The 12,659-nt window shown below is 41.4% G+C and overlaps 1 annotated feature.

The window, feature by feature from the left end:
* Positions 8,172-8,729: an enhancer, noted in NCBI's record as "NANOG hESC enhancer chr18:36007142-36007699 (GRCh37/hg19 assembly coordinates)". NCBI's record gives its function as "activates a minimal SCP1, AML or CMV promoter by ChIP-STARR-seq in primed H9 embryonic stem cells {active_cell/tissue: H9 hESC(primed)}" and the evidence as "EXISTENCE:reporter gene assay evidence [ECO:0000049][PMID:30033119]".

Genomic DNA, 12,659 nt, shown 5'->3' with positions numbered 1-12,659 from the left:
GAAGAAAAGTAATAACTTTCACGGGAAAATAATTGTGTGATTAAAATCAGATACTGTGTTTGGGAATTTTAAGAGTGTAAAATACTAAACAGTTGTTGGTAAGAAATGTTGCATAATGAGGACAAGCAAAAGGTCCCAGATTCTGGCAAAGTTGAGAGACTTTACAAAGTCTTAGTCTTAATGAGGCAAGTAGCAGCTTCCTAAACTGGTAACACTGAGAAATCTGATGCTGGATAGTCTGTAGATTAACTTTTCCATACTAGCATAAAATAACACAAATCACAGGTCAGTGGCATGCAGAAAATCTGCACAGGTTCATGGAAGCATGAGCTTCAACATCTGGAGGCACTGCAGCCTCCATAGCCTCTGTGCTTGGTGTTTTTTTTTAGAAAAACAACCTTAGTCGCTGATGTGACTGCATTGAACCTCAGCTTAAAAGAACTGCTCTTTGGAATAAACGACATGGATAAAATGGTCAGAGAAGCATGGGTCACCTGAGAAGACTCTTCAGCTAAAACTAAAGGGTTAATTTGACTTGATTAGGTGAAAAGGTAGAGAGATCTAGCATATCTATTTTATATGCTGATTTTAAGTGAAGACCTGTGACCACACCAGAGTCTGTGTCCACAGAAGAAAGGGATTGAGCTGAAAAGCAGCCCTTTATGATCCTAGCTTACAGGATCTTGTCCACAAAATGGACTTGCAACCAGTCTCTTGTATAATTACATGATGGACAATATTAATTCATGCTTTTTGAACTCATTTTTAGAATTAAAGCTAGCACCACTTTATATCTTTTTGTATAGACTTTCCTCCATTTCCTTGTGACAGGATCTGCTGCAATGGGTTGGCAGGGAAACTTGCATGGTCAGAGGATGCACTGACCTGTTTATCGATTTCCCTATCTCACAAGCATCACCAGGATGGAGGACAGGCCATCCATACTAGGTTGATCTGTGGCCTCTGTTGCTTTCCAGTAAAGCACCCAGGACTTACAAATCTCAGATTTGCATCCTCCATCCAAATTCTAATGCTATTTACTGCAAGTGCAGCCTTGGGATGTGGGGGATTTTAGGTTTAACTATGCCCAGAAGAATATGCTGAGTGGCATATTTTAGTACATAAAGAATGATATCCAAGTGTCTGTGTTGCTCAAAAATGCAATTTAAATTAAATTACATTCCTCCCCATTTCCACCCCACCACCTCTGCACTCACATCTGTAGGCTAGCAAGCAGCCACACTTGAAATAGCAGCAAATAAAATCAGAGACATAATGAAAACTTCAGGCATGGAACCATGGTCTGAAAAGTGATCTAGTTGGCTAGCTAGATAGAACGCCAGGGACATATCTTTAACCCCATCTGCATCAAAGCCTCCAGTCCCCAGCATACTGATGCCTGAAACATACCTTTGAAAAGGAACAATGTTTGTTTCTTTATTTTGCTTTTTTATTCTGCTACTAAAGATGAGGCATAATAGAAAACAGGATGAAAGCAGTGGTTAAAAACATCACTCTGGGAATTAAACAGAACTGAGTTCAAATCTTGGCTTGGCACCCCTACAAACTTTTACAGTGCCTAAATGTCGACTTCTTCACCTGTGGAATGGAGTTAAAAACATTGACCTCACAGTGTAATTTAAGATGTTATCTGAGCCAGAGTAGGGAAAGCACTTTGTGTATGCAGCACACTTAATTTACATGTTGAACAAATGGAAGCTGCAACAACAGCACATGCCTGAAGATATGATGACCCAGGACGTGCAGTGCCTTGTTGTAACCTCTCAACTTATTGTTTACAAAGTGAAGTCTTCAAACCAGATCTCCTGACCAGGCCAGGGCATGAGGAGGAGAGGTGGTTGCAACAGATAAGCCCTACGCAGAGGGAGGGCAGGGATTTGTCTTCACACTGAAGTGGAAGTGGTTGATCCTGGCCAACGTCATTGACTTTTATAGCCCTCATGTTTTGCACAATGCTAGTTTCTCTCTACGTCTCTGTACCCACTGCAGATATGGGGGTGTGGCAGCATGGAGGCTGATGTTTTCCCATCGCCCTGTGGAACAGCTGCACCCTACTGGGCTGTGATTCCTGAGAACAAGTTCAGGCCAGGGAAAATGATGTAGAGGCCAAGGAGAATTTTTGTTGGTCTTCATCTATCCCCCATCTGGAATTCTCTCTCCTCTTTGAGCAGATTCCCTTTTCCTCCTGGGAGCCCGGGTGGCTGCCTGCAGAGAGCCTATGTGGCCATCTTCATGTTTGCCCCTTCAGGTGCCTCCTTTCCCCTTACCCATCCTAACTAATCTGTCCTCTGGCCCATTTCTTCAAGGACAATCATTCAAGCTAACTACAACTCCGGGTTTTATCCCTGATAGAGGTCTGTCTTCTCACCATCAACTCATTTCTTTCATTCTCTCCTTTAGAAAGATCTGAATTCAAAGACTAGAATTTTGCCACCTTGACTGGGTTCTGTAAAGAAGTTTTTGAATGCATGGGACCTTTTTCAGCTCTCTGACCATTCTCTGTATGGTTCTGGCCATAAGTGAAAATAGCTAGTCAGATAAGTGAAAAACAATCAGGGTTTAAATGTCCACATTATGTTTTCACCTTAAAACTACAGCACGGGGTAGAATGGACAGTAGATGTGTGGAGAACATTTTGCAGAATATGACATTTGAGAGGCATTAGAGTGGAGGGCTTAGGGGCCTGGCTGTGGAATCCACTACCATGGTGGTAATCTCAGCCCTGCTACTTGCTAGCTGTGTGACCTTGGGCAAGTTGCTTGATCTCTCTTTGCTACTGTTTCTTTATATGTAAAATGGAAATAGCTGTGCTCTCCTGACAGTGTCGTTGTAACTATTTAATAAGCTGTACTTACACAGTGCTCAATCACCTGGCTCATTATAAATATTCAGTTAGATGTAGCTTTTATTATTAATGAAATTTGGATTCATTGGTTTTGGCATCACATAGACTAAGGTTTAGGCCTTGACTCCTTCACCTATGGGACCCTAAGCAAGATATTAACCTTCTTATACTTCAGTTTCCTTATCTGTAAAAAAGCAGTAATAATGCTATAGGGAAATTGGTAAAATTAAATAATTACTCTACATCGTTTAGTACAGTGCCTCTACTAATTATTAAATAATTAGACTGATGCTCCATGGTGAACCCAGTGCCTAGGAGAATCAGCATTATTCTACCTATGTGGTTTCTGTCCATAAAGACCTGTGACAATGGCACATTTAAAAGTCTGGCTCAGTTGCATCCTTTTCTGTAGCCTGCTTGACCAAACAACCCCAGCCCAGGTTGCAAATGTTTCACATTGACTTACAGTGCACTTGTTTGCATATAGTTTATCTTCTCTGGAATGAAGGTACCATCACGTATACATCCTTTCCACTCCACAATTTGGCAGAATGCCCTATCAACAAAGTAGATAGATATTGGCCCTTTAAATTCTCTCCTAGATGCCATCAATTTTCTTCCTCCAGAGCTGTTTATTCTGCTACTGTTTCAGTGGCATGCTCTAAACATGATAAACCGTCCTTTTCTTTTAGTTACGAACACAGTAACTTCTTGGTGGTACATGGAAAAGGCACATGGGCTCCTTCAGCCCAGAACTTAATAAAAACAGAAATGCTTGAAGTATCAGATACTTCAAGTACTTTATTTTTTATCAAATAGCCTGAACTCAAATTTCCAAAGTTGGCATTAGTCTCAGGACAGAGCTTCATCCCCAGGGTCTGTGCTTGCACCAACAAGCTCCTCATGGATCTAATCAGTCTTGACAGTGGTCTCTCCTCCCTTCTCTCAAATGACAAATTTCTTGAAAAAATTGATGTCTGCAGAAGTTAGAACAAAATATCTAATATCCAGATTAAATACTGCTAAGGGAAATTTTTTACTTCCTCAGGTGGTTGAAATCACTTAAGTCTGATTCTTTTTATTCCTGTATCATGTTTTATTTTTCCCCAAACTTGGAATTCTGTCATCATTACAGTCAGAATTTTTTGCAAGGTGTCCTAGTTGTTGCAGTTCAACAACAATGATGGCTTTTGTTGGATCATCTCAAACATCTTGATGATACAGGCGCAATGGACCCAGGCACTCATGGCAAAAATGCACTCTAGGTGTTAGTCTAGGGAAAGGATCCTACCTAAGGAAAGTTTGGAGTTTGCACCTTGAAAAGTCTACATATGGAGGTCACCAAACAAAACCCAACTATAACCTGTGGTCCCACAAGTTCCAGCCTTAGCATGTGTTGGATTCAGTGAAACACAACTCAGCAAACAAGAGTAATTAACATGTAATTCCTGTGTTTAGATATATTTATCAAAGACTGTAATAGGGTTTTCCACTAATAACTCATAGGATCATTAAAAAAAATTTTCTTCGCTTTCACTATACACTAGACTGGCATAGATGGACGACTCAGTTAGAAGGTAGAAAAATAGAAAACCTATAAAGGCAACAATAAATTTGCCCTAGCAGGTGGAGACACAGGAAGGGTAGAGGTTAGCCTGGTAATATTCCCCGATTACCATAGTTTTATTTTTATCTTACATTATTTATAGTAACATGGAGTACTCTTCCAATATACCCTTGATCATGCTCTTTCTGTCTCTCTCTCTGTCTCTCTCTCTCTCTCTCTCTCTCTCTCACACACACACACACACACACACACACACACAGAGTAGGGGGACACATTTTTAAAACTAAGTATTTACTGATTGATTGAATGATTGATTTAGTGAGTAAGTAGAAGACATGTATGTCCTCTATTACTTTTTTATTATATGAACGTGATCACACAGCTTCATGATCAATATATCTTGAAGAGGAAGTGGAGTAGATATTCATTTATCAGTTCACTCATCCTTTCAAGAAATTATTTTGGACACTTCTCAGAAATTAGACACTTTTCTGGGTGTTGGGGATATAGTGTTGAACAAAATAGCACAGACCCTATTCCCATGGAGCTTATATTTGTTGAGAAGGAGGTGACATAAACAAAGATAATATAATGCAGTGCTATGAGGAACAGGGCAAATGGACATGGAGGAAATGGGGTGCTGTTTTGCATGGAATGTCAGGGAATTCCTCTGTAAAGAGTAACATCAGAGCAAAGACCAGGATGAAGAGAGAAATGAGGTTGGAGGCAAGATAAACAGGTTCTGGGGAGGCACCAACAAGCTAGCATTGCTTTTTCATCCCATTTATGAATGGAATGTTTTTTTCTCTTTTTCTTTCCTTATTATTTTTTTTCTTAAGAAATCCTGTGCTTCTTGAAATGTGAAATAGGTGAAGGAAAACACAGTTCGGGACCATTAATTGTGCTTTCTTATTGAGTATATAAATTTGATGTCAAACGGGCCTGGCTGAATGGTATATATTTATTTCAAAAATATCATTCCTGTGAGGCATTGCTGCATCATCCTATTGATTTAGGGATTGGTGTGATTGTGCCTGATGCTTTTATGAAAGGCAGGCTATTAACAAACTAAATTGAAAAACTAGTGAGTCTGCCTTTCCGGGCCCAATCCAGCATGCTGTCCATGTGAGGCTTAAATGGGAAAATACTGTAAAAAGACTTATTTTAATGCGACAGACTCCTCATTGCAATCCATAAACCTTATTTGCTGTGGGGAAAAAAAAAAACCCTACAAGATAGAATTCTCACGTTCCAGCAACAATTTCCCTCTGGTTTCTCTCCCATCCATGGAAACATTAATCTTTTCATTTCAGAAGCTAAATCTTTTTGACCTTGTTGGACATTAGGATTAAAATCTTGTGTAAGACCAGGTATCTTTAAGAAAGTCAGAGGAACCATGGGTGCTAATGTAGGAAGCACATAGAAGTATTCAGGGTTTGAAGTTTCTGCTGAATTTTTGGTGTGGAGCTAGTAGATTAAGCAGGGAGGTGAAGGCTGGAAGTTACTAGATTTCACCTAGTTCAACTCCTTGCTTCACAGACAGAAACCAAGGCACAGACAAGGGGTGACAGTCTGATATTCGTCCACTATCATATAGCCAAACTGGTGGCAGAACGTAGGCCCCAGAGCTGTTCTCAATCAGCCTCACTAACTCCTTTAAATACTGCCTTCCTGTAACCATGCCCCATGGAGGATGGTCCCGGTGAGTGCTTAAAAAGAATTGAATCTTTAATACAGCAAATGACAACATAAAGTCAAAGAATGTGCTTGAGTTTTTGATCAAGAGAGAAGGAGTCCTGATGATAGCTCCTCCTGCCTGCTGTGCTGTGCCAGGCCATCTTTTGGCTCTGTTCCTGACATCAAATTAAAATAAGTCTTTTTACAGTATTTTTCCATTTAAGCCTCACATGGACAGCATGCTGGATTGGGCCCGGAAAGGCAGACTCACTAGTTTTTCAATTTAGTTTGTTAATACCAAATGGCTTCAATACATCACAGAGAGGAGTGTCAGCATGGAAAAAGACCCAATGGTGCTGTATACTTTTCTATCACAACAAAGAGGATGCCATGGGACACTTTTTGATACGTCTAAAACTTACATATTCCTTGGAATAATTTTATTTGTTAAAAAATTTGTATTATCAAAGGAAATGACTAATCCAGATGTGTATTGAAAACCTGATATGTGCTCAAGTCTGCAACATGTCACATATGAAATATGCAAAAGCAGGAGGTCATGCAGCCTTGCTTTCTGTTTTAATGGTCCCATACTCAGCTGAAAGAGGAAAAGGATCCTAATGATTGGGGTACAGGTGCACCCGGCTGTGCACCTCACAGACTGGAAGCTTGGGGAAGACCAGAGAGAAAGAAATGATGAACTGAGGCTGTAGAGCTTCTTCCCTGGGTGAGTTTATGTAACTCTCTCTGTAGGGCCCTGCTTGGGAACAATCTGAGCATGAGGTAGAAGTCTAAGTAAAATTGCCACAAGTAAAATGGGCACCACATCTAGCATGTGGTTCACAATTAGTTAGGCTGAACGCTTTCCTCCTCCCTTTTGAGGACTAAGCTCTGATTTTTTTTTTTTTTTTAATCTTGCCCAAATTCCTATGTAAGGGGTCTTTGGAGTCACGCCCTACAAACCATAAATTCTCATCAGATGGGTTTTGTTTAACCCTATATATCATCACTTACTTTCCAGTCTGACTCTGGCATAACATTATGTGACAAAGAAGAAAGTCAAATTATTTTACCCCAAAAGCATGTTTCTTTGCCATATTTTGAAATGGTCCTGCAAAGCTGTCCTTTGTGGGGAGGGGCATGTACATCTGTAAAGAATCTCTTAACATAGCTAGTTTTTTCTTCCAGGCCCTCCCAATCCTGAAGAGATTAAGTAAGAGTCTAGCACATTTTAAAGGTCTGAATCAGAAACACTTGTTATCTATTATCTCTAAGAGCAGCCACTATAAGATTTCAAAAGAACCTGGGTCTCCACAGTCTTTTATCTTAGCCTGAACATTTCCTTTCTCTCCATCCCAGGTCTTTAGACAAACTCGACCAATTGTCAATCAGAAAATGTTTAAATTTACCTATAGCCTGGAAGCTCTCCCTACCTCCTTTGAGTTGTCCCACCTTTCTGAAAAAAATCAGTGTTATTTATTAAATGTATTTAGGAGGCATGTCTCATGCCTCTGTAAAATATATAAAACCAAGCTCTACCCTGACCATCTTGGGCACATGTTCTCAGGGCCTCCTGAGTGCTGTGTCATGGGCCATGGTCACTCATATTTGGCTCAGAATAAAACTCTTCAAATATTTTAGTTTGACTCTTTTCGTGGACACTTTCTTCCTCACTTTCTTCCCTTTTTTCTAACCTTTTTTCCTTCCTCCTTCTCCTTTTCCCTCTCTTCCTATTTCCTTTCTTTCCACCTACTTGATAATAGTGTCTGCAAAGTCACTCCAGGAAATAGATGCCTGTGTGAGAGAAAGGCATTTCAAAGGCAGCATGGAAACCTTTTGCATTACATTAGGAGAATTATGTCATTTCTGTAAAGAAGGAAAAGAGCACAGTAAGTGGCAACTCTTCCCCAAGGAAACACACTCAGGAGATGTGCCAGTGCTGGATTTCTCATTCTTTAGAAGCTGGATGACCTTGGGCTTCCCTGCTGTGTGCAACCTTGGCCTCGTGGCTATTTTTTGGTGTTCTGCAATGAGAAGTATACGCTGGTCCGTTACCCCGCATTTTTGTTTAAGTTACACTTCATTAAAGCAGAAAGCTCTCTGAATTTCTCTCATTTTCCCTCATAAAATCTTTTATTTCACCCATTTTCATTCATCTTCCCTTTCTACTTTATGTCTTCCTCCTTCCTTCCTTCCTGTAACACTCACACTCATTTCTGCTTGCTAGAATTTCAAATGACTGTTCCAACTAGACAAAAAGAAATCCTGTTTCTATGCTCAGACAGCCTTCAGACTGATGGCCCATTACATTAGCATACAATAAAAGCCAGCAGGGGGTGCATTGCCATGCTGTGATCCTGGGTCTCTATGCCCCAGGGGGCCAATGAGGTTCCCAGTGTGCAGCTCCTCTCTCTGGTAATGAGGCAGTTGTACACTTCGGTGACAGCTTCGTGGCCTCAATGGAAGCTGCAGTCTTAGTGGGAGAAGAGGAGAGAAAATGTCTGCATGGTGCATCCTGAGATCTGATATGGGCTTCCTGGTTTCACTAGCCTCTTCAATCTCTCTTCCACCGGCCTAAGGACTGCCTGAAGTTCATGTTTTGTGTCCATAATGAGTTAGACAGTTTTTGTTGCGGGGTGCATTGTTTCTAGACCTTCTCCTTTAAAGTAACAGGGCAGTTAATTAGACATTTACAGTGCTCCACCTACCTGCCAATCCTATATGAGAAGATGTGAGGACAGGGGTTACAGGAAATGAAAAGTAGGGTTCTTCCCTGTGGCCATGAGACACTTCTTCAATACAATACTATAATGCATTGCTTGCTGGCATTGTTTGAAGACCCCAAGCCTTCAACAACCAGATTGGATTTCAGGTTCCTTTCAAACCCCTGCAGCGACAGAAACATGAACTCTGCCTTCACCATGGAATCAGGTGGGACCCTTCCATCAACACCAAAGCCCTTCACTGCCACCACATCTAAATGCTGTCTTGATCCTTCATTCAAGCCTTCCTTATCCTGGGGTAGCCATAGCTACCATCTTGGCAAATGGTGGTCAACTGCTTCTTTGTTTAAACTTGTGACAGAGGAGTGTGTAGATAGGGGTGAACTGAGCCCAGCACATATGCAGCCTAGGCATTTCACTTCTTGTTGCCTCTCTAATGTAAGAACTCAGAGAAAATAGAGCAGAGGTGTGGGCAACATCCAGTTGCTTTCCTTAAGATATTACCCTCATTTTCTGTTCAGAGAGGGAATGGAGAGAAATAAGCAGATTAGCAGCTCGTGAAAAGGGAGCGAGCTGTAAACTCCAGATAAAATTAGTATAATTGATCTGCAGGCCTCCTTTTGATAAAATGGCAAATAGCCGTGTCCTACCCCAAGTTCTGTTTACAATCTGCCTTCATTCCCATGATCAGTTCAGACCTGAATCCATCTTCCCCCAACACATGCAGATTCCTTGAGGCCATGTAGTCTTAGAGCCTCTTTCTGAGAAGTCGCTGACTGCTGGATGACAAATCACTATTTAATATGAAGTTAGGCTGGACGCGGTGGCTCACGCCTGTAATCCCAACACTTTGGCAGGCCGAGGTGGGTGGATCACAAGGTCAGGAGATCCAGACCATCCTGGCTAACACATGGTGAAACCCTGTCTCTACTAAAATATAAAAAAAATAGCCGGTCATGGTGGTGGGCACCTGTAGTCCCAGCTACTTGGGAGGCTGAGGCAGGAGAATGGCGTGAACCTGGGAGGCGGAGCTTGCAGTGAGCCAAGATCATGTCACTGCACTCCAGCCTGGGCAACAGAGCGAGACTCCATATCAAAAAAAAAAAAAAAAAAGTTAAAGCTCCCCAACTGACCAACATTTAACTAGAGAGAAAAAAATGCATAAATAAAAGTAGGTAAAACTTATGGTTGGAAAAGGCCAGATATCCCTGACCAGAAGTGGGGATTGGGTCAGGGGAGGACAACTGAGGAAGGCATGGGGTCTAACTTCTCAGACATCCTCAACAGGAAAACCCAGCATCACGCGTTCGGACTGGTTTGTGCAAAGTGAGCAAGGTTGTACATTCTATAAGGTGGTATATTTCAGCCATCCCTGCCCCTCCCAGAAACTTATGTTTCCAGCTGTGGATTGGGTACTTTCTAAACAGAGATGTCTGACCACTAGACTGATGAAGCAAAAGGATTTACATGGAACACAGAAGTGTGGATTTACAAACTCATGGTGGCTTTGTGAGTCTGGGTTATGTCGGAAGTGGCCTTGTGGTAGGCAGGCAGGTAGACAACCTTGAGAGTTTGATGAGAGCCAGGAAACTCACAGCTCTCGCCTGCCCCTGACATTCACTTTTCTGTGACCTTGGGGAAGTCACTTAACCTTGTGAGGATTAATGAGTTAATCTCAGGGAAAGTACTTTGAGATCATTGGCTGACAGGTGCTGTATAAGTACAAAGTATTATTATTAAAATGTCACTGTGCTGGCTGCCTTTGCTCTTGAGGGCACAGAGGCAGGAATGACAGCCCCAGGTAAGTGAATAAGGATTACGTAAGACATGGAAATAGAGAGTTCTGTCATGAAAAGTTCTGTCCTGCAACACTACTTCTCTCCATCATTATCCCCATCCAGCATCTTCTCACTTGTCTCTGGACAGAGGCAAGTTTATTTTCCTAAAATGAACTGTACGAAACAGTTTTAGCCAGAGGCTCTATATCCATAGATCTTACCGTTCCTTAGCATACCCTTGGAAGTGAAGGCTGGAGAAACTTATTTTAACATCTCCAAAACTCCTTCTTTTCTCTCACAACAAACCAGAAATGTTCCTCTAGCTTTTTCCACATGTGAACAGAGATAAAAATCCTGGGGTCTCAGATTACAGTGGTAAAAATTCAAACTCCCATTGTTAGCAAAATATTCCGTCTTATTTATATGTTTAGTTTTTAGTTTAATTTATCTTTATTCCTGAATCAATGACTTTTGAGGAAATTATGTATTGTTTAGGAAAATGTTTAACACATAGATACTCAATTAAAAATTGATTAATGGGCCGGGCACGGTGGCTCACGCCTGTAATCCCAGCACTTTGGAGGCCGAGGCAGGCAGATCACAAGGTCAAAGAGATTGAGACCATCCTGGCTAACACGGTGAAACCCCATCTCTACTAAAAATACAAAAAATTAGCTGGGCGTGGTGGTGGGCACCTATAGTCCCAGCTACTCGGGGAGCTGAGGCAGGAGAATGGTATGAACCCGGGAGGTAGAGCTTGCAGCCCGGGTGACAGAGCGAGACTCAGTCTCAAAATAAAAAAAAAAAATTTAAATAAATGTAAAAATTTGAATGATTAGTATAAAGCTTGCATATCAAAATTCTAAGGAATGTCAAAATTTTAAAAAATCAACAAATAGCTATTGATTGCAGGGTCCTTTGAAAGAAACTCAACATATGAAGGACCCAGTTGCTCTCTTCAGAGAAGAATGTGTTTGGGGGATGACAGGATTCAAGAAAGAGATGGAGGAGGGTGGAATCTGGAAGCAAAAGTGAGCATTCACACCAAGTGAGAGCTGTGTTTGTTTTGTTTTGTTTTTTAGGAGAGAGTTAAATGGTAAAAATATATCAGTGACAGGGACAGAAAGAAATAGATAAGAAGTCATGAAAAAAAAACAGGAGACAAGACCTACAGCAAGTAAAGATGTAGAAAGGGCCTCTCTGTGTACAAGCAATTAGGTAAAATTTGTAAGGGGAGCAAAGATGGACCAGGCTACACCTAAGTGTCTACAAATTACCAGAGGTTTGCTGCCAACTGAAGAGAGAGAGAAGAGTCCATGACAGGCTTTCGTAGCCCCAGTTGTGGCCCTTAGAGTTAGAGAAGAGTTTTTTGTTCATTTGTAGGTTTGTTTTTCTTATTGTATTTTATTGTTGTTTCTTAAAATAAGTACACTCTGTGCTCCACAATGGGGGGACGGAGACCCCCAGAGGGGTCGACATGCTGCATTGCATATTCCTCTCTTCAAGACTTCTAGATTAGGTGTGGTGGCTCATGCCTATATTTCTAGCACTTTGGGAAGCCAAGATGGAAGGATGGCTTAAGGCTATGAGTTTAAGACCAACCTGGGGAACATAGTGAGACCTTGTCCAAAAAATTAGCTGGACATGGTGGTACATGCCTATAATCCCACCTACTCAGTAGGCTGAGCTGGGAGGATTGCTTGAGCCCAGGAGTTCAAGGCTGCAGTGATTCATGATCACACCACTGCACTTCAGCAGCCTGGGTGACAGAGCAAGAACGTCTCTCTTTTAAACAAACAAACAAACAAACACAAACTTTTAGAAAGCAGTTTCTTCCTGGAAAGAAAGTATAGTTCCAAGGAAGAGGATGAAACCCTGTCTTTGTTACATGCTATATTTTACAGCAGGCTCATTTTGTGGAAGACCAAACCTAAACACAACAGAGGGATAGGGAAGGCTGTTCAGCTCAGAAAAGCACCTAGGCTGGCCTCTGAGATTTTACATGCAGAACAGAAATGTCACCAGTGTCAGCCAAGGGAGGACAGATA

This window comes from Homo sapiens, chromosome 18 (genome assembly GCF_000001405.40).
Source record: "Homo sapiens chromosome 18, GRCh38.p14 Primary Assembly".
NCBI classification, from domain to species: domain Eukaryota; kingdom Metazoa; phylum Chordata; class Mammalia; order Primates; family Hominidae; genus Homo; species Homo sapiens.
This window is presented reverse-complemented; position numbering and strand designations above follow the sequence as displayed.